General features: G+C 37.9%; 1 pseudogene; it reads left to right on the forward strand.

Annotated features, from left to right (window-relative positions):
* The first annotated feature begins 26,105 nt into the window (after nucleotides 1-26,105).
* On the forward strand, nucleotides 26,106-26,503 carry LOC124904580 (CXXC motif containing zinc binding protein-like; annotated as a pseudogene).
* Nucleotides 26,504-27,425: the final 922 nt, after the last annotated feature.

Consider the following 27,425-nt stretch of genomic DNA (forward strand, 5'->3'; position numbering starts at 1 on the left):
AATATTTAGAGATCAATTGAGCAAAATCTATACAAGAACTCTAAACTGAAAGCTACAAACCTCACTGAGGAAAGTTAAAGAAAATCTGAATATATCAGGAAATATACCAAGTTTATGGATTGGAAGATTCAGTATTGTTAAGGTGTCACTTCTCCTCAACTATACACATAAATTCAATGAAATCCCAATCAAAATCTTGCAATTTTTTTCATGGAAATTGACAAACTAATTCTAAAATTTAAACAGAAATGCAAAAGACTGAGAACAGCTTAGACAATTCTATAGAAGGAAGAACAAAGTTGGAGGACTGACAATCTACCAGATATCAAGATTGACCATAAGCTACAGTAATTGAGACTGGTAATGTTTGACAGATGAATATATAGGAAGAAATGGAAAATAAAAAGAAGTCATGAGTGCGAAACAGGTTTAAAAACCAGCATCCAGGCAGTGGCTACCAGATTGAAGGCCTTGAATAATCCCCTATGTCTCTTAGCTCTGTCCTCCGGGCTGCGGGCTTCACACTGAGTCCCCATCCCCAGCCTGTGGGCTCCAGGCTCTGCTCTCCTAGCTCTTGGTTCCACCCTCTGATTCATCTTTCCTTTATGCATGAAATGTAGCTTGTGTTTGCAGATAAGTAGGTTTATGGGGCTTGACAGTCATCTTTTATTTTATACACTTTCTGTTCCTTTCAGTCTAGCTTGCAGTGTGTCTGCCAACATCATTTTCTCTAGAATCTTGTGGATTTTGCATGAATTTCATGAGGGTTCACTCCATTAGACTAAAGTCTCACCAACAGATCTTTCTGAGCTAATCCCTTCTCTATATTTGGCTTCTGCTGAGATGGCCAAGGGATCACACCATTCAAGACTCTTAAACTTGAAATCTGTGAGCTGCACCCTTAATCTCGTGCAACTGAATAATCTTTGATCTTTCAAAGATTTCCACAAGAAGTTGTATAGCCACACTCTCAGCCTTTTCTCTATGTCATGCTTTTGGCAGTCATTTGTGAATTTTAGCCTCTTTCACCACCTGGATAGATTAAGAATATTCCAAATCATCAAGTTCTGGTTCTCTTTTGTGTAATTCTTTTCTCAAATTATATCTCACTTCTCTTATTTTACTATAAGCTATAAGAAAAAACTAGGCCACATCTTCAATATTTGGAAATCTTTGTTAAATATCCAAGCTTGTTGTTTACAAGTTCTGCTTTCCACATAGCTGCAAGAATCAATTCTGCTAAACTCCCTGCCTCTGCTTAACAAGGATCCTCTTTCCTCCAGTTTCTAATAATATGTCCCTCACTTCTTTCTGAGATTAAATCATTGTGAGCTCACAGTACTATAGGTCAGAAGTCTTCACAGTCTTAGCTGAGGTCACCAATGAGGGTCTCACAGGGCCTAAATCAAGGGGTTGGCTAGGCTGAGCTCTTATCTGGAGGCTCTGGGGAAGAATAGACTTCCCAAGCTCATTCAAGTAAATGGCTAAATTCAGTTGCTTGCTGCGTATAAGCTCTCAGTTCTTAAAGGCCACCTCCATCTTCAAAAGCAGCAAAGATACTTTGAATTCCCCTCTCACTTCAAATCTCTGGCTTCTCTCTGTCATCAAGCAGAGACGATGCTCTACAGACTCTCCTAAATAATCTCCTTATCTTAAGGTCAACTGACATCTGCAAGCTCTCTTCACTACAATGCCTAGATTAGTGCTGGGTAAGATAATCAGGGAATGAGAATCTTGGAGGACCATCTTTAGAACTCTGTCCACCGCATTTGGGGAGGGGGTTCTGACTAGGAAGAGCAGGAAACAACTTGCTACATCTTGATCTGGGTGGTGGTTACATAGGAAAATTGACTTTGTAAAATTTAGAGCTATACACTTATAATTTGCATACTTTTTTACATGTATGTTTTACTGCAACAAAAAGTTCACAAAGAACATTCCTGTAGGAAAGCTCTGTTTTCTCATTAATATTTTTTAATATATTTTATTTGGAAAGTTTAGATATTCAGTGATTAATATCTGCCCTATAGTTTGTAGATTATGCTTGTTTATTGTATGGTCATCATTATATAATGTATAGAACATAAGATGGTTTTTTTTCACCAAGTTCAAGCTTTAAAATTTGGGGAATGAATATTTAAATTATATCTGCAGTTTTTAATTTCTTCACACATTCTGACCTTTGATGTAGGTGACATAGGAGAAAACTTACTATGCCATTAGTCTTGGCCAAAGGACAAGGCAGTCGTGGCCCAGGCTTGTGTTGGATCGTTTTTTGTTTTTGTTTTTGTTTTGTTGAGACGGAGTCTCGCTCTGTTGCTCAGGGTGGAGTGCAGTGGTGTGATCTCGGCTCACTGCAAGCTCCACCTCCCAGGTTCATGCCATTCTCCTGTCTCAGCCTCCCAAGTAGCTGGGACTACAGGTGCCCGCCACCACGCCCGGCTAATTTTTGTATTTTTAGTGGAGATGGGCTTTCACCATGTTGGCCAGGCTGGTCTCAAACTCCTGACCTCATGATCTGCCCACCTCGGCCTCCCAAAGTGCTGGGATTACAGGCGTGAACCACTGCACCCGGCCTGTGTTGGATCATTTTGCTTCAACATGGATGAGAGTTCTTCAGCAAGGATCTCCAGAAGAGTGGCTGGTGGCAAACTAATTAAACTTAGGGTGACCATTTTGAAACAAGTCCCTCCTAAGATTTACTTACCATAAATACCTAAAAATGGAGTTTCACTATATTCTGCTTTCTTCTATTTTTAAAGGGATCCTAAGCCCCAAATGCAACATTGCAGGTCCAGTAGATTCCAACAATGGGACATTGTTGTTATTATAGGTCAGAACATCTCCACAGAACAAACTCTGTCACTTATGGCTGACAAACTCGCAAAAAATTGTTAGATTTGGTGATAATAATTAAACTAAATTAAATATTTTTTGGATGCTCATTTAACAAGATCTCAAAAAGATCACACCAAAATGGTCCCTGATCAGACGTACTTAGTTTAACGACAGCTACTCTCCCCTCTAAACTTCAGATTTCCAACAGTTCACAAAAGCAGCTTTGAACACTTTCCTTGTTAAATATGGGAACATACTGCTCTTAAGCCCTGAAATGAGAAAACTTCCCTCCAACGTAATTGCTCCAAGTGAAATACCACATAATATTAATCTCCTTGGAAAGCACCGAGAACTTTTCAAGTGGCTCATTACCTCTGCAGATAGTCAATGTACTTCCTAATGTTTTCAAAGCTTACAGGAAACAAGAAATGAAAGTGGAGAGTCAGGTCTTCTAAAAAAAATCGTAATAAACTGTTTCTGCTGGCCTCAGAAGTATAATAATAGTTAATATTCATCTAGTGATCACTAGATGCCAGACACCGTTCTAAGTGTTCACAAATGGTAATTTGTTTAATCCTCACTAACAATATTATTTCCCATTATGCAATGTAGAAAGCTGAGGCACAGACAGAGTAAGTCATGTGCCTGGTGTCACATAGCTAGAAACGCCAAAGCCAGGATCCAAACCTCCATATTCTAAAATGCTACATCAGTCTTCCTTTTAAAATAGTTCTGGCTTCCTGAGAATGACTCATGTGGGTTTTTACAACAATTTTTACTCTGATGTATTGCATCTTTTATGTGGGAAGTGGGCAGGCCAGTTCAGAGGAGCTAACTGGGGCTCTCCCTCCAGGAAAGAAAAGATGGTTCAGAGAAGTTACTTCTAAGAGAGTCTTGGAACTGTGTCAGCCACAGTCTTTCACACTGTGTGCAGTGCGTGCTAGGGGTCCTGAGTCCATTTTTATTATATGTACTAGAATGACTTTGACCTTTGACTGCCTGGTTAAAGGTATGAATGTGTTGAAGACATCTCATGATAAAGGGATGTTAAAACTTAAAGAAGGGCCCCAAGCACATAGTCTTAAAAGAAATTGTGCACTGCCTATTGCCTTTGGTTGTGAAATGGACTCTTAGTTAAAGGACCTGTGGCATGCACATGGTTATAAAATAAGACATATTTTATTATCTTCCTTATGCAGGTATAGCACTGGACACTTTATATGAATTACCTTCTTTACTTATTATGATAACCCTATAAGATTACTATGATTGCCCCCACTTTCCAGATGACAACTACAGTGCTAATCAATAACTGAGAGAGGAATTTAGCTTAAATATGTTTTTCTCTGAAGCTTGTACTCTTTAATGTTAATCTAATTTTCCACAAAAACAGGCTAAGTTTTTTTTATTAGTGTAGGAATTTCTCAATTATTGTTGTTTTGGTTTCTGCGTTGGGCAGAGATTCCAGGCAGCACTGTCAAAGACAGAACTGGACTCTGAAGCAGGTTGTCAGGAGCCAGAAAACAGGTAAGGATTGATGTCAAGACAAGGTAGGTGTGAGAAGGGGATTGAAGGGAGAGGAGACTGCAGGCAGACAGTATTAAAGAAGCATAGTCCTGGAAACTGAGGCAATCTGGACTTCAATGAGGCTGGACTTTATAGCCATGTTGCTACAGATGCCTATAGCTTTCTTCTTATGCTCACCTTGGACTCAGTCTTCAAGTTACAGTTAATGTTCTCTCTTGCCACAGCTGGATGCTATTCCTAACGAGATGCGTTAAGAACATGATTAGTTCAATAACCAGAGAATTCCAGTACCCCACAATAGCATGCTTGGCTGACAGTTATGAGAAGTTTAAGTAGTGTTTTTGAAAGGTTGATCCTCTTGTCTTTTCTTTTCTTTTCCATTTTTTTTTTTTTTTTTTTTTTAGACAGAGTCTCTGTCTGTCACCCCAGGCTGGAGTGCAGTGGTGTGATCTCGGCTCAGCGCAACCTCCCCATCCTGGGTTCAAGCAATTCTCCTGCCTCAGCCTCCCAAGTAGCTGGGATTACAGAAGCATGCCACCATGTCCGGCTAATTTATTTTGTATTTTTAGTAGAGATGAGGTTTCATCATGTTGGCCAGGCTGGTCTCGAATTCCTGACCTCGGATGATCCACCTGCCTCGGCCTCCCATAGTGCTGGGATTATAGGCATGAGCCACCACACCACTTTCATTTTTACCAAAATTTGTGAACAATAACAGAAAACTGTTATTGCCCATTTGAAAACTTTTACGAACAGCCATTTTAATTCAAGATGGCAAACCAAAGCACACATTTTACCATTTAAATTATAACTTTATGACTTTTCATGCTAGATACTCTCTTACTTATTCATAAATAGTTGATGCTAAAGTGACTAATAAAGTTATTCATAACTGATTTATAAGAAATACTAGTGTGGGTAGTTTAAAGACCAGGAAAACAAATAAATATAAATATTGACATCAATCAACTTAAGAAGAGAAAGAGAGATTTCATTTAGTCAAATATTCTAATTGTGTTTGAAATCTTAAAATATATTTTCAAGAATATTTTATGCATTCAACCTTGTTGTTAGGAAAAAAACAGAAACATAGCTGGATTAGAAATCCAAGAACTATCTTTGAGTCATAGTAAGCGGAACAAAAGACAGAACCATGTGCCCCTAGGGATCTATAGACTTTTATACATTTTTTGTTGTTCTTTTGATTTGTTTTTCTGTTTTCTTTTCTTTTTTCTTTCTTCTTTATTTATTTATTTTTGAAACTGGGTCTTGCTCTGTCACCCAGGCCGAAGTACAACTTCGGCCTGGGTGACAGAGCAAGACTCTCAGTGGCACAATCACGGCTCACTGCAGCCTCAACCTCCCAGGCTCAAGCCATCCTTCCACTTCAGCCTCCCAATTAGCTGGGACTACAGGTGCATGCTACCATGCCCTGCTAATTTTTGTATCTTTTGTAGAGATGGGGTTTTATCAAGTTTCCCAGGCTGGTCTCAAACTTCTGAGCTCAAGCAACCCGCCTTACTCGGCCTGCCGAAGTGCTGGGATTCTGTTCCTGTGTTAGTTTGCTGAGAATTATGGTTTCCAGCTTCATCCATGTCCTTGCAAAGGACATGAACTCATCCTTTTTTATGGCCACATAGTATTCCATGGTGTATGTGCAATATTTTCTTTATCATTGAGGGGCATTTGGGTTGGTTCCAAGTCTTTGCTATTGTGAACAGCGCTGCTATAAACATGTGTGCATGTGTCTTTACAGTAGAATGATTTATAATCCTTTGAGTGTATACTCGCTAATGGGATTGCTGGGTCAAATGGTATTTCTGGTTCTAGATCCTTGAGAAATCGCCACACTGTCTTTCACAATGGTTGAACAAATTTACACTCCCACCAACAGTGTAAAAGCATTCCTATTTCTCCACATCCTCTCCAGCATCTGTTGTTTCCTAACTTTTTAATGATTGCCATTCTAACTGGTATGAGATGGTATCTCATTGTGGTTTTGATTTGCATTTCTCTAATGACCAATGATGATGAGCTTTTTTCCATATTTTTTGGCCACATAAATGTCTTCTTTTGAGAGGTGTCTGTTCATATCCTTCTCCCACTTTTTGGAGGTTTTTTTTTCTTGTAAATTTAAATTCTTTGTAGATTCCGGATATTAGCCCTTTGTCAGATGGGTAGATTGCAAAAATATTCTCCCATTCTGTAGGTTGCCTGTTCACTCTGATGATAGTTTCTTTGGCTACGCAGAAGCTCTTTAGTTTAATTCGATCTGATTTGTCAATTTTGGCTTTTGTTGCCATTGCTTTTCGTGTTTTAGTCATGAAGTCTTTGCCCATGACTATTTAAATAAACTTATCAAGCTAAAAAAAATCTTTCTAAAAATTATTTCGAATACTATCTCTTCAAAAAAAGCATTTATACAGAAATCATACTCCTTTTCAGTTTTACTTCCTTTTCAGTTGTATGCACTAGCATTCTAGAAAATATAAAAGACAGAGATAGAAGAGGAAAATCATCTTATCATTTTACATATATAGCTACCTATACAAGTAGAGTTACACCATTTTTCAAGAGATATGAGAAAGTAAAGAAACTTGGCTGAACTGTTAAAACTTATGTAATTACCATGGGAATTTTTGCTAGAGAAAGAGTTTGAAATATTGTTCCTATATAATCTGATAATATTTTGGACAAGAGTTTAATTTATGAAATTATGGTGTAGAATCTCAAAACACAGTAATTCACAAATATATAATGTCAATTTGTTTTATTTTAGAAGCTCTCATGAACAATTATATTCTGAGAATTTTTATTATAAGACATATGCTTGAAAAAAACTGTGTGGGTGGTTCACTGTTGAGTGAAAATTCTACTGTACTTTACTGCTCTACAATCTTAGGAATGTTGGCAATTTTTAAGAGCAGATGTTCTTCTTGGCATCTACTGTAATATTTAGCATAAACAAAAGTACTGGACACATTAAGATGACCAAATAATAGGCTTTCCTCTCTTTGTAGTCTATTTAAAACTTAGAGGAAGGGGGTGGGGGAACCTAACTAAAACTATTATTACATTCAAGGCTTATAAAAACAACAGAGAAAATTAAATTTGTTGTCCTTTGGGCTTAGATTTCCATTACAGTCTTTATCTCACAGTATTACCAGAAATGACAACCCTCACAATTGTTTTTCTCTGAAGTGTTTCTTGCGGTCATTCCCAGTGTGCTCACTGAACATTCAGAAAGAAACTTGGGTGATCATTTTTCGCTTGTCTGTTATTTTTTTTTAATGGAGGAAAAGGGAATACATTATTTCTGACCATATCAAAAATGAGATCCAGTGTTCATGCAACAAGCTCAAACAGTATTGTCATATAGCTCCATGTCAATAAATTAAGTTCTCTCTATTCTTAGTATTTTAAAACAAATGTTTTCGGCAAACATGGAAATGAAAGGTGCTCTATTTTTTAAAAACAAAGATATATCTTTGTTTTAGGGACAGAAGACAAGAATATGATACAAGGACTCTCATATATTTATAGTATTCCTTCAGTAACTAGCTTCTGAAGTCCTACTGTATGTCAAGCACTGTTCTAGGCGCTGGAGAAAGCTTGATGAGAAGCACAGAATCGAAGTGTTCCAAGAGTTTTCCTGGACACTCAACTATTGTTGACCTTTGTCAAGTGTCTTATTCATTGGTCTTTACAAAAAGTCATCAACAAAATACCTTATTGGTTGAGTAAGATTACTATATATGAAAGAAAATCCTTTGGTCTTCAAGTAGAAAAAAAAATCCTTTCAAAGGTTAACGTATCTGATGCAAGCTGAATAATGAAATGTGGCATGCTGGCTTGATCAAAACACTAATTGCCAACTTTGATGCTCCTCCTCTGTTGAATACCCTTTAGGAATGCCTGAGGAAGCATCAAAGAAAAGAAATGTGAGGAAATCCACTTCTTTCATCTCTCAATAAGTTAAAAAAGAAAGCATAGTTAGATATTCCATAAATGTCCTTATACAGATCAATTCACATAAGCCCAAAAATTAAGACATCAAGAAAATCTTTCTCATGTTGTGTTGGGGGTACAGGAATATCCTCACTTTTTTTTCAGCAAGCTTTAGTCTGGTAAGATAAATGTGCATTTAACGGATAGAGATTTCCTAACAGAGTCTAAATTTCTCATTTCAGATATCTAGAATTTTCTAAAGCAGGGGCCAAATATTTGAACCTCAATATGAAAATATACTGCTGGTGGGAATGTAAAGTGGTACACCCACTTTAGGAAACAGTTCCTCGTTATTTTAAAAGCTCGAATATATTTTAAAAGCTCACCTACCACATGACCTAGTCCTTCCTCTCCGAGATGTTTACCCAAGAGAAATGAAAGTACACAGGCTTATGCATGATGTTCAGAGCAACTTTACGTACAATAACCAGAAACTGGAAACAAATCAAACCTCCATCAATAGGTAATGGATAAACAAATTTCAGTATATTCATATAATGGACTAAAACTCAAGAATCAAAAGAATCTAAAGAATAGACTATTGATACACGTGCAATATGGATGCATCTCAAAATAACTGCAGAGTGAAAGATGCCAAGCAATGAGAGTACATATTATATGATTCAATTTATATAAAATTCTAAAAGCAAAACACTTATCTAGAATGAAAAAAAGCACATCAGTTGTTGCTTGAAGATGAAGATAAAGGCAAGGAGATTGGGGAGGAAGGATTATAAAAGGATATAAGGAAACATTTGAGAGTGATGGAAATGTTCATTATCTTGACTGTGATGATGGTTTCCCGGGTTCATATTATATCAAAACATTACACTGTAACACTATAAATATGCACAAAACAACTATGGGCTGAGAGGTAAAAGACAAATGGTACAGATACATTATTTTCCTCAAATGGCACATGGATCAGACTACATTTGACCACTTTCCCATGCAGACTATGGCTTATGGTACAAGCCCACTGCTTAAGCATCTCCACTAAACTACACAGATATCTGTGTTCAGATTTAATTTTTAAAAGTTATTAAATTCATAAGCAAAAATTAATTGCACAGGCTCCTAGTAACTAATTTTTGGAATATAGTTTCATATTAGGAAATAAAGCCAATGAACAAAATTTATACTGTAATAAAATTGTTCTATTTAAATGTCACCTTGGCTACATTAAAAGGCTGAATTTTCCAGGGGTTTTAAATAGTGGCAATGCTGACTCATAATGTAGGAGTTAAAACCAACATGATAACTATACAGAGTGACCCAAGGGAGTCATCATCATCAAGATGATCATAATAATTAAGTGAGGCAGACTTAAGTAAACTTCAGAAAATGAGTATATTTGTTTTATTAAAAGTCTGATGTCCCAGTACAACAGATTTTAGGTTTTTCTGTACAAGGTCAGGGTTTGCATATCCTGTGAATAGAAACACTGAAAATTGATGATGTAGCTTTATGTAAAACACAACAGAGACCATTGTAATTGTGTTTGTTTTCTTGAAGAAACACCTAGCTTGTGGCTGGGTAAGGATGGAGGTCAGCCTGTACTCCTGGACCCCTAGTGCCTGGCACAGTGCCTGACAGTGCATAGATGGGACTCAATAAATGAAAACAGTGGTCTCCTTCAGAGCTGTCATTTAAAGTGCACCATACTGGGCTTTTAAACCAATCTACCTTAAGGCAGCTTCAAGAAATGCTAAATTATGCATAATAAAAGCAACCAGTAGATTCATAATATTTGAAAACCAGTAGTTTTGAAGAAAGTATTAAGCATAAATAATATAGTAATAAGAGCACTATAGTGATAATAATGTTTATAGTAATAAAAGTAATATAAACACTATATGAGGCACTATGCTAAGCAGTTTAATTGTTATTTCTTTTACTTCTCACAATAATGATGTGAGATAGATGTTATTGTTATGATCACTATAGACCATACTAACCTATTACCTATGTACTTGTGCAGAGAGAGAACCACATCTTTCTTGTGCTCCACTATGTACCCAGCACCAAGCATGGTTTCTAACATAACAGATATCTGTGAGTACATTATACTGTTGGCTACTGAACCTAAGTACCTGACTCAGTATTCCATGCCTTGTAAATAGCAAAGTCAGGACTCAAACTCGGGGCATTGAGACTTCAAGTTCCATTTGTTTGTAGTTCATTATTTATGCCAGTAAAAAACTAGACACAATGATCTTATATTTGTGAAAACCCGAAGACGTCACCAAAAAACTGTTGGAACTAATAAACAAATTCAGTAAAGTTGCAGTATACTAAATCGACATACAAAAATCAGTAGCATTTCTATATGCCATCAGTAGACAGTGTGAAAAATAAATCAAGAAAGTAATCCCATTTACAATAGCTACAAATTTAAAAAATGCCTAGGAATTAACTTAGCCAGAGATGAAAGATATCTACAATGAAAAGTATAAAAACATTGATAAAAGAAATTGAAGAGGACACAAAAAATGGAAAGATGTTCCATGTTCATGGATTGGAAGAATCAATATTGTTAAAATGTCCATAATATCCAAAGCAATCTACAGATTTAATGCAATCCCTATCAAAACACCAATGACATTCTCCACATAAATAGAAAAAGCAATCCTAAAATTTATATGAAACCATGAAAGACTCAGATAGCCAATTCTATGCTGAGCAAAAAGAATAAAATTGGAGGAATCACGTTACCTGACTTCAAATTATACCATAGCACTATAGTAACCAAAACAACATGGTACTGGCATAAAAACAGCCCCATAGACCAATGTAACAGAATAGAGAACACAAAAACAAATCCATACATCTACAGTGAGCTCATTTTTGACAAAGATACCAAGAACATGCATTTGGGGAAATAGTCTCTTCAATCAATGGTGCTGAGAAAACTGTATAACTATATGCAATAGAATAAAACTAGACCTCTATCTCTCACCATATATGAAAATCAAATTAAAATGGATTAAAGACTTAAATCTAAGACTTCAAACTATGAAACTACTATAAGAAAACATTGGGGAAACTCTTTGGGACACTGGAGTGAGCAATGATTTCTTGAGTAATACCCCACAAGCAGAAGCCACCAAAGCAAAAATAGACAAACTGGATCACATCAAGTTAAAAAACATCTTCACAGCAGGGCGGGGTGCAGTGGCTCACGCCTGTAATCCCAGCACTTTTGGGAGGCCGAGGCGGGCGGATCACGAGGTCAGGAGATCGAGACCATCCTGGCTAACACGGTGAAACCCCGTCTCTACTAAAAATACAAAAAAAAAAAAAAATAGCTGGGCGTGGTGGCGGGTGCCTGTAAGTCCCAGCTGCTCGGGAGGCTGAGGCAGGAGAATGGCGTGAACCCGGGGGGTGGAGCTTGCAGCGAGCCGAGATCACGCCACTGCACTCCAGCCTGGGCAGCAGAGTGAGACTCCGTCTCAAAAAAAAAAAGAAAAGAAAGAAAAAAAAATCTTCACAGCAAAGGATACAATCAACAAAGTAAAGACTGGGAGAAAATATTTGCAATCTACCCATATGACAAGGGATTAATAACCAGAATATATAAGGAGCTCAAACTCTATGGAAAAAAATCTAATAATCCAACTTAAAAAATGGGCAAAAAATCTGAATAGACATATCTCAAAAGAAGACCTACAAATGACAAACAGGCATAGGAAAAGATGCTCAACATCATCGATCATCAGAGAAATGGAAATCAAAACTAAAATGAGATATCATCTCACCTCAGTTAAAATGGCTTATATCCAAAAGACTGGCAATAACAAATGCTGATGAGAATGTGGAGAAAAGGGAACCCTTGGACACTATTAATGGGAATGTACATTAGTACAACCACTATGGAGAACAGTTGGAAGGTTCCTCAAAAAATTAAAAATAAAGCTACTATATGATCCAGCAATCCCACTGCTAGATATATACCCCCAAAGAAAAGAAATCAGTATAATGAAGAGATAACTGCACTCCCAGGTTCACTGCAGCACTGTTCACAATTGCCAAGATTTGGAAGCAACTTAAGTGTCCATCAACAGAAGAATGGAGAAAGAAAATATGGTACCTATACACAATGGAGTGCTATTCAGCCATAAAAAGAATGAGAGCCAGTCATTTGTCACAACATAGATGGAACTGGAGACCATTATGTTAAGTTAAATAAACCAGGCACAGAAAGACAAACCTCACATGTTCTCACTTATTTGTGGGAGCTAAAAATTAAAACAATTGAACTCATGAAGATAAAGAGTGGAAGGATCGTTCCCAGAGGCTAGGAAGGGTATTAGTGGGTGGGGAGGAAGTGGGGTGGTTATTGGGTACAAAAAATAGTTAGAATGAATAAGAACTAGTATTTGGTAGCACAACAGGGTGACTACAGTCAATAATAATTTATTTAACTATACATTTTTAAATAACTAAAAGAGTATAATTGGATTATTTCTAACACAAAGGCTAAATGCTTGAGGTAATGGATACCCCATTTACCCTGATGTGACTATTACGCATTGCATGCCTGTATCAAAATATCTCATGTACCCTATAAATATATACACCTACTACATACCCACCAAAATTAAAAAATTTTTTTAAATTAGAAAAAACTAAATGTTCAATATGAAAATGGTTAAATGCATTTTGCTACAGTAACTCTATGGAGTTAATACAGCCATTAAAATGTTAATTTAAAAAACTAAATAGCTATATGGAAAATTGCTCATAGGATGATGGAAAAAAGAAAACAAAATTATATTTCTGCTTTGATTATAATTACGTAGAAATAATGTACATATTAACAAGAACTGGGAGGAAGTAAAATATTAAGCAATGTATTGTATGGTGTTTGTGGGTAATATATTTAATTTCCATTGTTATTTAATGTAGCCTTCTTAAAATTACTTTTAAAAAAGCAAACAGTAGTATATGTTGATATTATGTGAAAACCACATTTTTAACCAGTGTGTTTGCATTTAAACACCACCTCAACCATCCCTATTTCAAAAGAAAAATGGTACATTGTTGTTGAACAAGTAAACGTTAAGTTAAAACCCTATTAGATGATTAATTTGTAGCTTGGGCAAGGAACAGAGGGATTATAATATATCTAACAGAAAAAAGAGATGGTAATAAGCCTTCTCTGCCTTCTCAAGAGGCTATCCTCATAAATGCCTTTTATTTCTTTGCATCATATCTACAAAGTGTACAAAGTATTGTTATGTTGACAACCCTTTGTAGGACATGGGAATTCTAGTAACCAAATTCCTCTTATGCCCTTATCTTCTTCAGCAGGTTCAACGCTAAAATTATTCACTCCTCATTTATAATCTTCAGGTGGAGGCTGATTGCCTAATACCCCCGGCATTCAAGGGGCTGTATTAACATGTATTCCTGCATCTTTCTTCCTCCCCCGTTTAATGACCTACCCTCCCACTCCAGTCACCACAGACTTAGACTGCTACAGTCTCCAGCAGAACACATCACTACTACCAATAGAGATGTGGTGAGCATGGGGTAATAGCTCTCAATTTAGAGCATTTGAACCACATTAGCACCAGTAACCAGATTTAAATTAGAGTAAGTTACTTAACATTTCTTAACTTCAGTATTCTTGGCTGTAAAATGAGATCTGCAATGGAATTCAATTTATCGGATTAAGTAAAGATTGAGAAAATGTAAATAAAGTGCCTAGCCCATAATAAGCGCTCATTAATGTTAAACATTACTATAATCGTAGTAGTAATGGTAATATATTTCCTTATCAAGGCCCTCCAGCAACTCCTGGATGCTGCTTGCAGACTTCCTCTTGACTTTTAAAGCTCTTCACCATATTTTCATTTGCCTGATCTCTCTTTATATCTTCTTATGTTTTTCATTGATCTCTCACCTCTAAGTATGGTTAATTCTTAAAATTCTTCACTAGGCTTTAATAGGTATAGAAAAACAATTTGTTTAAAGAATGGATTAATATCACATCTTTTGCTCAGTCTTTAAATATTAATTTAATACTTAAGCAATTTTCCATTAAAATACAGAGAGACTCTCTGAGTGTTTGATATCAGAAGCCATTTAGTTGAGGTAGTGAATACAAAAAAAATCTGAGGAGAATGGGCTACTGCCATAGTTAAAGGCTTAAAGGACTGAGAAATGGTGGTCCCTGTTTATACACATTTAATTCATTAGTTTGGCTTTTGGAAAAACCAGGTGGATCCTGATAGATGACAGTGGACTAACACAAACATAACCAGCACTAGTCCCAGTTACAGCTTCTGTACCAGATCTGGTGTTTTTACTAAAGCATGTGAATGAAGTCCCAGGGATGTCACACGTGCCTATTGATTTAGTAAATGTGTTCTAGTCAATATCCATTAGGAAAGGAGATCAGAAGCACTTTGCATTCACTTGATGTGGACAAGTAAATAAAGTAAATATTAACGTTATTGAGGCAGAACTATGTCCTCTATCACAATATGAAGGGGCATGAACAATCTGTACACTCTGCAGAAAATCACATGAATATACTCTATTGATGACATCATGTAAATTGGACCCAATGAGTAAAAAGTGGCAAGTACTCTAGATGTCTTAATAAGAAACATACTCCCCAGAGTGAGGGAAATAAACATTATAAGGATATTAGAGCCTGCTATACCCATGAAGTTCTTTGGAGTTCACTGGTCTCAGGCACATTGGGACATTTCCTTCAAAATAAAGGACAAGTTACTATATTGCACATAAACTATCATAAACTAAACTGGCTGAGAGGCCTCTTCATTTTTTAGAAGCAGAGAATTCCATACTTGGCAATACTGATCAATCTACTTAAGTGATGCAGAGACTCAAATATTTATTGCAATGAAATGACAGAGGCTATGTAGTCAGATTACTCTCTTTAAAGAGCAGTAAAGTGCAGGGGTTAAGATCACAGACTTTGGAATCACCATATCCACATTCAGAACCTAGCTCCACCACTTAACTATCTTGTGTGACTTGAGGAAGTTACTTTCCCTCTCTGGTCCTCAGCTTTCTCATCTGTAATGTGAAGATAATAATGATGCTTGTGACAAAGTCGTAAAGACTATTGTGGACTTCTACATCTGGCACAGATAATGTTAGCTATTGTTTTTATTATATTGGAAATGTCTCCCTTCTAAGTAGGCTGGGTATTTTGAAGAGAAGGGACAGAGAAGGGAAGGCCTAATGTAAACATTAATACTCATGAGCTTATTTTAGTGAATGGGATTTTAAAAAAAGGTTAAGAATTACTTTAACAAAAGAAAAGGTGGAAGATTAGTTCTTAAATATAATACATGAAGAAGGTCAGAGTCTGATAGAAAGAAAGAGATACCCAGAAATAAAGAAGGAGGCCCAAACAAAGAAGGGGTGAAGGTGACCAGGAGAGATGTGATAAGTAATAACAAAGGACAGGCAGAAAGGACAAATTAGAAAGACCTTGAAGTTAAAAGAAGAAAAGAGAGTGTGAGAAGGCCAGCAACAGATTTCAGGTGGCAGAGGGCATGTGCCAGTGAAGAATAAACAGCAGGGCCTTTGTAGAGGGGACCAACTGTTGACAGGAAAAAGAGAAGATTCAGAGTCCAGGGTTGGGAGAATTATAATTTAGAAGCACATTCTGTTATTGCAGCTGCAAGCATCAGCACTCTGGTAAGGTCATGAGAATATGAGAAGCTGATTAACGAAGAGAAGAGGTCATCAGAGTCACTGAGGAAAATAAGTGCAAAAATGGTTGACAAAAGCACATCCACGTGATCAAGAAGTTGATGGGAACTAAACAAAACTGGCGCTATTAAGGCCCAAGCATATTTAGTCAGTAAATGTAATCCTCCTAAATGTCATTTGTTTTAATGATTCCCATTGGTGTGGCTTTTAACAGACAACCTGTCCAAGGTTGATCGTCTGACTTTAAATGTGCAGAGAAAATGCAGAGTTGATTTACACAAACCAGAAAACTGTATCAAGGCCTGAGCTCATTGTGATCAAATAACAATTTTGTTCCTCTAACACTGCCTAAAAGGGTTATAGAGTAAGACTCCGTGAGTTGGTGTCAGCTGTGTGTGTGCAACCACCAACCTTGCTTAACTCCTCCAAGCCTCAGTTCCCTCATCTGTGAAATTAGAATAATAAGAGCAACTACTTCAATGACTGTTATAAAAATTAGATGAGTAAACATATGTAAAGTGCTCAAACCAGCACCAGTCTCAAAGTAAACACCATGTAAGTGTCCAATAGCATAATCTTTATAGGGGATGTTAGCTCTCTTTCAAACTGACTGATTAGATTCATTCTATTAACTCTTAGTTATGGGATAATGTATTTTAAGACGAAAGGTTTCATTAAGTTCCTTTTTCTTAATAATTATTTTATTTGTTTATAAAAATAGATAAAAATGACAGGAAGGGAGGCAAGGTATTGAGCCATAACAACAGTTCTCAGAAGTGTCCAGATATGATCATCACCCTTAAGCCATCAAAACAACATTCACACACACCATCCCATTTGTCATATTCCCCAAGTGAGTTATAAGGACCTGAATCTCTTCACATAAAAGACTTAGATTTATGTTGGTCCTACAAGGGCAAACACACATTAACTGCATCTCAGAACATTTTTTAATTTCAATGAAATGGGTTCCTGAATGAGAGAGCTTTGAAAAGCTGTGCTTTGGTAATTTTTGTTGTTGTTGTTGTTGTTGTTGTTTTTGTTGTTTGTTTGGGACAGAGTCTCGCCCTGTCACCCAGGCTGGAGTGCAGTGGCGTAATCTCGACTCACTGCAACCTCTGCCTCCTGGGTTCAAGCAATTCTCCTGCCTCAGCCTCCTGAGTAGCTGGGATTACAGGCACGCACCACCACACTCAGCTAATTTTTTGTTATCTTTAGCAGAGACCAGGTTTCACCATGTTAGCCAGGCTGATCTCAAACTCCTGACCTCGTGATCTGCCCGCCTCAGCCTACCAAAGTGCTGGGGTTACAGGCGTGAGCCAACGCGCCCAGCCGTGCTTTGGTACTTTTTAGCAAAGTTCGAAACAATAAATGAAGGTGTCGTATCAGAGCTTCCTTCCTCTGGTGCAGCAGAGACTCCCGGAGGCATTTTTTCAAAATAACAGGGACCACATAAGCAGAATATTCTCTCCGAAGTGGTAGAGATTAGTCCCTGAAATGATGGCTCGCTGGGGAAAAGCCTTCAGCCAAACTTTCTCCCCCACAAACACACACCCCAGGGACACACCCTTGTAATATTTCCAGCTGAACAGAGGTTGCCACAAGATATATGATCTTTCAGTAAAAAATTTTCTTATCAACAAATACCTCCCCCAAAGTCTAATGGCTATGAAGCAGAGGTGCTACTTTACCTCCTAAGAAGTTGGAAACTCCTTTTCCAAACATGGAAAATATTCAAGCAAAAATTTCCATGGTTATTCATAACATCAGAAAGTAAAACCATGAAATATTAGGGGTTCTTGCCTAAGGCAGTCTCGATTTCTTTTTTTCTAACATGAGAATTATTATTTTAGAGTATTTCTCATGTTAGTTGCATGATCATTAAGTAATTACTCAGAATCTAGCCTTAGAGGAAAAATTCATCTAAATAGGTATTCCCTAAAGATTTGAAATAAGCATAGGTAAAGGTCAATAACAGAACTCTATTTAGATGAAACAAATATCAGAGTATTGGCAGGTTACAAAGAGAATATTTGAATCACAATTTTATAATTACTGGGGAGATGTTGCTCTTCCCTCACAGTAGGACTATTTGCCACAAAAGTGCAGGATATGGCAATAGATATGCCTATTAGGTCAGGTCAGTGGTCATTTCATTACATCCCCTTTAACTAAATTCCACATGCCTCATGAGTCTGAGCCATCCCAGGATAAATCTGCAGTGCCCGTCTGCTCACCAACCCTTCCACAATTCCTCCTAGTTGTCTCTCATTTGGCAGTTCCACTAGTCCTATTACCACCATTCCCTGATTCCCTGGCTCCCATTTTGCTTCCATCTGTTGGGTCTGATTCTCCATTAAAGCCCTTGGATTGATGCCCAAGTAACCAACCTTTGACAACATTCCAGGACACCACTTCATTCTTCCGTGCTCTAGTTTCCCAGACAGTGCATTCACCCATATAGCACCCATCCGGATTTAGCCTGACACAAACCGGACCTTCTGACCAGGAGAGTGGGAGGGAAGTTTCAAAAAAACATTGCAATTTCAGCAGGCTGGATACAAAATAGTGCCTACGAGATAGACTCATCTCCAACTAGATTTAAAGCAGATTGTCTGTGACCACGAGGTCTCAAAGAGATGGTGAATTTCAAGCGGCAGTCTACAAGTGATAGGTAGTATCAGTCCTTGTACACAGGGTCCTAAGCAATTTTGTGGGGGTCGCTGGCAAGATTTTTGTCCTTTGAAGAGGGAACTGCCTGGAAAAACACTATGCCTCAGTCCCAGGTTGGAGGAAAATAAGAGACAAGGTGATTACAATAACTGTAACTGGGGTAGTGGGATTGAGGCTTTAATCCCAGTTGTAAGAACTGGGGCACACAGGTCCACAATTGTGGTGATGATGGTGTCCCATATCAGAGCACCTGGCTCACATAACCAGCTTAGGATAGCCAGAAGCTCTACCCTTAATACCACTCCCAGACCCCTCTTGAGGTGCCTGGGAATATAAGCTTTTTGATGATTAAGTAGTCTTTGGTGCTAGAACATGTCAGTGACCTCAATCCATTACTACATTCAGGAAAACACAATCCAGTTGCAGTGGAGGTTACAGTAGAGACAGGATGAGCTGTTCCCAAGTCTGGCTATGCAAAGATCTTTCCCTTCAGCCCCATCCTGTTTCCTCCCACTCCTGATTCTGGTGCTAAAATCTCAAGTAGAGAAAGATTTACTCAGAGCTGCCATCAAACTCCCACCCAAGCGTAGGTTGCCAGTAGGCAGATAGGCTTAGCACTTATGCAGTTCCCATGAAAAGAGAAGCTTCTGTCTGTTTTATTATTTAGTTTAGTCAGACAGATAGAAATCTCAGATGACGCTGATATGAGTAATGAAGTAATGTATAAACTGTTTGCCAGCAAACTGTTCCTCCTGTAATCTGCCATGTTACATCTATAGGAATGCTCTAAGCAAGTTTTATTATCAGCACACAAATAATAAGTGCAAAGGGGAAAATTAATCATCTTATATTATCTTTTTAAATTGGTTTTAAGTAAGGGTTTTTAATTCCCCATGAGGGTGACTGGCATTTCCTGTTTTGCCTGGGGCCTTCCTGGTTTGATTAGCTATGTCCCAGGAAAACCCTCAGTCCCCTGCAAGCCAAGATGGCTGATCGTCCCATCTGGAATTGTAAAACTTGGATTGGAGTTCACGACATCATAGATTAACCATGTGGTTTGGGGCATATCAGTTGACATATCCTATCTTCAGATTTAATCTAGGATAATATTAGGACCTACACAAAGCATTCTCTTGATCTTTTTATTGTACCAGAACTTCTCAACCAAGGAAGAGGAGTCAACACCAAACCAAACAAACCCTGAGTAGTGCCAAAATTTGCCCTCTCCCTTCTGTCCTTTATTAAGAACAGGGAAAAGGTTGAAAAACAGGGGCCAACAACAGTTGAGGAGCTTCAAATAGTTCAGTATTGGCTAGGGAATTTATTCATCTTTAGTAAGAATTTAACATGTTTCAAATAATAGCTATTTATTTATTTACAAATATATTTGCCCATTTGCAGCAAGGCATTTCTCCTACTCCAGCCCCCTCTGGCATTACTGTCTCACCTAAGGGAAGTAAAAAGGCTAAGAAACACAGTCACCACCCAGGAACTCAGGCCCACCAAAAACTGAAATTTAATCATCAGATTATAGAATATGTTCCCTCTCTCATACCTTACTACCACTGCAATAGGCCTCCAGTATAATAACAGTAGATTAAAACTGAAACAACTGCAAGATTCAGATTTTCCCTCAGAAGAGGTACTTAGGGAAGCCCAAAGTCAACAAAACAAACAAAAATAAGGATAATAAAGGAATTTAAAGCCTCTGGCACCTACAACTGTAACAGACATTAAACTTGGCACAAGTTCTGGCCAGATTTACATAACCTCAAAGTTAAAGTGTAGTATTTACCTCAGCTCCTACCACTCAATATATTATATCTATCCTCAACAAAATAATACAAAGCATTCTAGGAAAAAACACAGTCTGAATAGACAAAGCAAGCATCAGAACCAGACTCAGATATAACATAGATTTTGGAATTACCAGATAGGGAATTTAAAATAACTATGATTTAATGTTAAGGGCTCCAATGGCAAAATTAAACAACGTGCAAGAACAGGTGGGCACATCATGCCTGCTGTTAACAATACTGTATTGTACATTAAAATTAGCAGTTAACAATACTGTATTGTACATTAAAAATTTTGATTAATGTTTTTAAGTAAAAATGGACAATGTAAGTAAAAAGATGAAAATTCTAGAAAGGAACCAAAAGAAAATGCTAGAATCTTTAAAAATTACGACAGAAATGAAGAATGTTTTTGATGGGCTTATCAGGAGACTAACCACAGCCAAGAAGAGCATCAATAAGCTTGAAGACATGATAATAGAAACTTCCCAAACCGAAAGGCAAAGGTAAAACAGAACAAAATTAAAAAGAATGAAGAATCCATAACAGAATATCCAAAAACTGTGGAAGATCTCAAAAGGTGTAGCAAATGGATTGGAATACCAGAAGAAGAAAGAAGAGAGCAAATGAAATGTGTAAAGTAATGTCTGAGAACTTTCCAAAATTAGTGATAGACACCAAACCACAGATCTGGGAAGCTCAAAAAACACCAACCAGTATAAATACTAAAGCAACAAACAAAACTTCAGTATAACTAGATATATCATATTCAAACTTCAGAAAACCAAAGACAAAGAGAAAATCTTGAAAGAACCTAGAAGAGAGGACAAATACCTTACCCATAGAAGAATAAGAATTACATTGGAATTCTAGTCAGAAACCACGCATACCCCTGCACACCTATTACAATGGCTAAAATCCTAAAAGAAATGACAATACAGATTACTGTCAAGGATGCAGAGCGACAGGAACTCTCACTCTTTGCTGGTGGTAATAAAAAATAGTGCATCCGTTTTGGAAGACAGTGTGTCAGTTTCCTACAAAGCTAAATGTAATCTTACTATAATATCTGGCAATCACACTCCTAGATATTTAGGATGTATGTAAATATTTATAGCAGCTTAAGTCATTTTAAAAATCTATAGAAAATATTTTTAAAAAGTGATTGCCAGACTATAAGGGGGAGGAACAGGGGAGGAGCATGAGGTAGGAAGAATTAAATAAGTGAGGTAGAGTGGAATTTTTACACCATAAAACTATTTTGTTTCATACTATAATGATGGACACATGACACCATGCATTTGTGGAAACTCATAGAACTTTACAACACAAAGAGTGAACATGAATGTATGTAAATTTTTAAAAATTGTTTAGGAGGTTGGGGGATTACAGGATGAAATACAGAACATGACAAGACAATCTAACTGTATTGCAAATGGATGAAACAACCTCACTGAAGGAAAAGGTGGGGGTGAGTTATTGATCAAAGAAACTTTGAAAATTAGTGGAGTCTAAGACTAATGGGAAAAGAAACTATTCTGAAGTACAGTACTCTAATACATTTGTTTCACAGAGGAGTATTGGTTAACAATTCTAATACTGCTATATATGCATAATGGCACTGAACAATTAAATAAGTGGATATAAGGTCGGGGGCAACCCAGTTTTCTCACTGTTGGGGTGGGAGTTTGGAAGTAAGCAAGAATACTTTTCGAAGTGGAAGAACAGAAACTGATAAATGTAATAAACAAAAAATGAACTAAAAATAAATTTTAAAAACAAACAAAAAATAATAAAAAGAAGAGGCTAGAATGGTTTATGTGATAGTGGATTACAGTTGAAGATATCAGTACTCACGGTAGCTTTACAGAGATCAGATGGTTACATAAGCATTTATAGATATATATATATATGAGTTCGTATATACACATATATCCTTGTTCTGTCTGCTGAGAAGGCTTAGAAGCAATGATATCCAGTAGCAAAAAACACACCTATCATTGTGATTTGGGTTTTTAATACTATTCTAACAAAAGGAACAGTGTTCCTTAGAGAAATGGTTGACTCTAGAACTGGGGCAGGAAATATACAACATGAGCCTGGAGTACATTATTGTGTCAAAAAGTAAGAAAGTGTGAAGAACACACACACACACACACAATGATGGGAGTATGTCAAAGGGACACAAGAGTCAACTGAAAGTGCTCCCAGTGGCCAAAGGTGAAAAAATTTGAGCAACAAAACAAGTAGAGTAGTATTGGATTATAACCTGAAGTATAAAGTAAATATCCATGAGTTCAAATTGATATCAATAAACAATTGATTGAATACATAAATAAATGGGAGGGAAGGGACAAACATCCCACATAAAAGTATTCCAAATAGTTTGTGTAAATACTGTGCTGTCAGGGAGGTGCATCATAACTCCCCACTCCTTCAGTGTGGGCTTCACATATTGACTTCCTTTCAAAGAGAAGTCTATATGGAAAAAAGGAAATGGAAATGGAGAACACGAGAATAACTTTACAACAGAGAAAACTGACAAACACTACCTCAGTCAGGTGACTTAAGTTCACTTCAGCAATGATACATCCCAAAATGGCAGGACAGGCACAGGATTCCCATTCCAAAAGAGAGCAACAGCAAAGAAGAAAGGGGAAACAGGTTCCAAGTAAGTACAAAACCCAATGGGAAAAACAACACTAAATTCTAAGGCTTGAGAATAATCTCCTTTGATTCCCTGTCCTGACTTCTAAGAACACTGGGGTGGAGGGTTGGTTCCCCAAGGCCTTGGCCAGCCCCTCCCCCAGGTTTTGCTGGGCTCAGCTCATGCAGCAGTTATCATGGGTTGGAGTCTCAAGCCTGCAGCCCTCCCAGGCTGGTGTTGCACGCTGGTTGCTCTACAATTCTGGGCACCTACCCCAATGGTTCCACTAGGCATTGCCCTCTGGTGGAACTCTCTGCAGTGGTTCTGCCCCATGGCAGGTCTCTGCAGCATCCTTTGAAATCTAGAGGGAGGCAGGCATGCCTCCATAGCTCATGCACTCATGCGCCAGCATGTGGATGCTGCCAAGAGTCCTCACTCTTGATCTTAAAATCTGTATTGGTCAGGGTTCTCCACAGAAACAGAACTAATAGGACACAGAGATAGGTAAATATATGAGAGGGAATTTATTAGCATAATTAACTCATGAGATTATGGAGGCTGAGGATAGACCACCTGCAAGCTGGAGACCCACAGAGACTGGTAGAAGAGCTCAGTACAAGTCCAAAGGCCTCCAGACCAAGAAGCTGATGGTGTAACTCTCATGCCTGAGGCTGAAGAGCCTGGGAACCAGGGGGACCACTGGTGCAAGTCTCAGCAGCTGAAGGTCAAAGAAGCTAGTTCTAATGTCCAAGGACAGGAGGAAAAGGGAGAGGTTTTCTGACTTTTTGTTCTATCTGGGCCCCCAGCTAACTGGATGGTGCTTGTCCACATGAGGATGGGTCTTCCCCACTCAGTTCACCAACTCACGCGTCAAATTCCTCTGGAAACTTATAGACATGCCCAGAAGGAATGCTTTACCAGCCCTCTAATTATCCCATAACTCGGTAAAGTCAACACCTAAAATTAGCCATCACAACCATGAAAACTGTATAAATGTGACTGTATAACATCAAATAATGAGGAACTGCATATTGGATTGCTAAAATATCTATTCATATTTTATAACCAAAACCCAGTAAAAATGTGTTGCCTAAATGCTTATAGGCTAATAGAAATCAACCAAAGACTTAAATAGTTTAATATAAATAGCTTAAGAGTTAACAGTAATTGTTGCAGTTTTATTTTCAAAGTATTCAACTTTTTTTATATATTTAATAGCCGGGGAAACTTCTCCCAAAAAGAAAGTATATATTTCCTCCTGAGAAAAAAGAAAAAGAAAGATGAATTATTCTGTGGGGAACTTATTTGCACTGACCTTTCCTCAGATATCATTAGTTCCCTGTAGGTATAAAATTGTGAAAAGAAACTTTTTCACTGTGGCTACTAGGCAATTCAATCCCAAAGTTAGTGTTCAGTTATAACAATTTTGTTCACCTGTATGTCCTGTATTTTTAATTTTTTTTTTCAAATTTTAACCTCCTATTCAATCTGTTTTCTTGTTCTATTTTTGCCTTTCACTTCTGTATCATCTGTATTTCAAATGTTTTCTCAAGTTCTTTTAAATTATTGTGGACTGGGATGTACACAAATTAATAACAAATAAAATACTAAGAGAATATGAAATAATTCTTATTCAGTTTCTCACAGTTTGTACTTTGGAAGCTAAATGATTTAAATTTACCTCCCCAAAAGGTGTTTTTATTCTGTCCAAATGACATGGAAAAAAATGGTTCTAGTTATTTGTGTTTTTTTCTCCCTAAAATTTCCCCTGTTCCAGGGAGTGTATATCATAAAGTGGACCTAGTCCTGCTCCTGGAAGATAACAAGGCAGGACGAGTTAGAGGCTTCCATTTTGCTTTGATTTTTTTTTTCCTTTGAACAGTTAAGAAAAAAACCTTCAGAAGTAGAATGCATATAGTCTAGTGCTTGGCATATTCCAAACACTAGGAAAATATTTGTTTGGTGAATACACTAATTAATTATCAAATTAACAGCTGAATGAATATTGTCTCCCTTGATAAATATAGCATGTTCTGGTAGGTACAAAGGGTACAAAGTTTTGGTTACACAGGATAAATAAGTCCTGGAAACCTATTGTACAACATATTGACTACAGTTAATAACATATTGCACACGTGAAAGTTGCTAAGAGATTAGATCTCAAATGTTCTCACCACAAAAAAATGTTAAGTATGTGAAGTGATGGATATGTTAATTAGCTTCATTTAATCTTTTCACAATGTATACATTTATCAAAACATCATGTTGTACACCATAAATGTAAACAATCTTTGTCAAATATGCCTTAATAAAGCTGGGAGAAAACTTTAAGTGTATTCTGATTTGGGTGATATAAGAAGGTAAATGGATTGTAAACTACATCTTGAACGTAAGTGAAATTTTATTAGGAACCTATGGAGAAGAGGCATATAAAAGGCACGGCCTAAGCAAAGGTGCAGAGGTAGGAAAACTCAGGAATTGTTGAAGCCCCCAGAGCTGATTTTTGGCCAATTTACACCAGTACTTCTATGCCGGTTGATGAATAGATGATGCCCCAAACTTCTCAAGGGTCCCCACCACCAACCTGGCTGCTCATACCACTGCCCAACAAGTTTCCACCTCCCAGTCACCGTGACACCCAGCAACTACAGGGCTCACGTGTAGCAGACAGAAGCCTCCAAATCATGGCCAGTATTCATTTATAAAAATGTACTGAGCACCAAGCATGTGCCCAGTACTTTTCTAAGTGCTAGGGATATAGCAGTAAAGGGAACAGACAAAACAGAGGAGAAAAAACTGTTTTCCCTGTGGAGTTTAGAATATAGCAGATAATGAACAAGATAAAAATAAAATATGTAGATATTAGTGTTACACGCAAAGGATAAAGCATAAATAAGTAACTGCAGTGGTACCTGAAAATGAAATGTGGCAATGGTAGCGAGATTTCAGAGAAGTGGCACTACATCCAACTGATGGACAGTGTGGCACTAAAGTGGGGCCATGGCAGCTCCTTCATGGTCCAGAAGTGCAAGCTGTGCACACAGGAAATTCCACTGAGATTTTGAGTGGCAGCATCAAATCTTACAATGCCAAAGACAGAGAGAAGTTCAAAACTATAATAGAGTTTGAGTGCCAGGGCTTCAAACCATTTGATTTCCAGCCCTAGGCTGGGTTTTTTGCTGAGGGCACGAAGTCAAAGACAGTCTTTGGTGACATTCTGCAGGAGAAAGACTGGACTGACTATGACAAAAAGTCCAGGGAGTCTGTGGGAATCTCTGAGGTCATGCAGCAGTTTTTGAAGTGCTGAGCCCTCTCCCTGTACACTTGCCTCTAAGAACAAAGAAGGGACAAAATGCCCCAAGCAGCAGAGCCCACTGAGGCTGGTACTCTCATCCCTGTCTCCTGGCAGCTGCACCAGGCCCTCACAATCTGCATGCTGGGCTCAGTCGCAGCCTCCCAAGCCCCATCAATAAAGCCCCTATTAATGCACCACCAGTATATGAAGGTAGGTCAGGTGGCAGCCACTCCTCCCACAAATAAGAATTCACATGGAGATTTTTTGACTGCTTCCTGGCATCTTCCCACAGTTTAAAATCCTGTGCCTGATATTTGCAAAATATGCAGGAGCACACAGCTTCTTAGGGCTCTCCAGAGCCCTTTTTGGGGAATCCGGCAGGTCAGCCCGAAGGACCAAAGTTGTCAAGCCCGATGGCACAAGGACAACTGAGCCACAAAATGAGGCCATGAGCCCAATAATCTTGAGCCAAGATACTTTGAAGACTAGCTTGGCTTGCAGGTAAACCCAGGCATTCCTGCTAGCTGGTGTCACTTCAGATTCCAGAGCTAAAAGGGATTTTACAGCTCTCCTCCTGATATGAATCTGCTCCACAAAATTCTTGCCAGATGGTCATCTGGTGTCTGCTCTTTTGCTGTAATGGGTGCTCCCCTCCCCTCAAAGGAGCCAGTATGTAAATTCTTCCTAATGCTAAGTCAATCTCTATGCTCCATACAGCTCCTCCTGCTGTTCTTCGTTTGTTCCCCTGCAGGAACACTTGGACATCCCTGTGGAGATGTGAAGGCAGCAGCTGTCATGGGTTAAATTGTGTCCCTCCCAAAATTCATATGTTGCAGTCCTAACCCCCAGTACCTCAGAATGTGACCTTATTTGAAAACTTGGTGGTTGCAGATGTAACTAGTTAAAATGAGGTCATACTACAGTGGAGTGAGTCCCTAATCCA

The sequence above is a fragment of the Homo sapiens genome, chromosome 1 (assembly GCF_000001405.40).
Source record: "Homo sapiens chromosome 1, GRCh38.p14 Primary Assembly".
Taxonomy (NCBI): domain Eukaryota; kingdom Metazoa; phylum Chordata; class Mammalia; order Primates; family Hominidae; genus Homo; species Homo sapiens.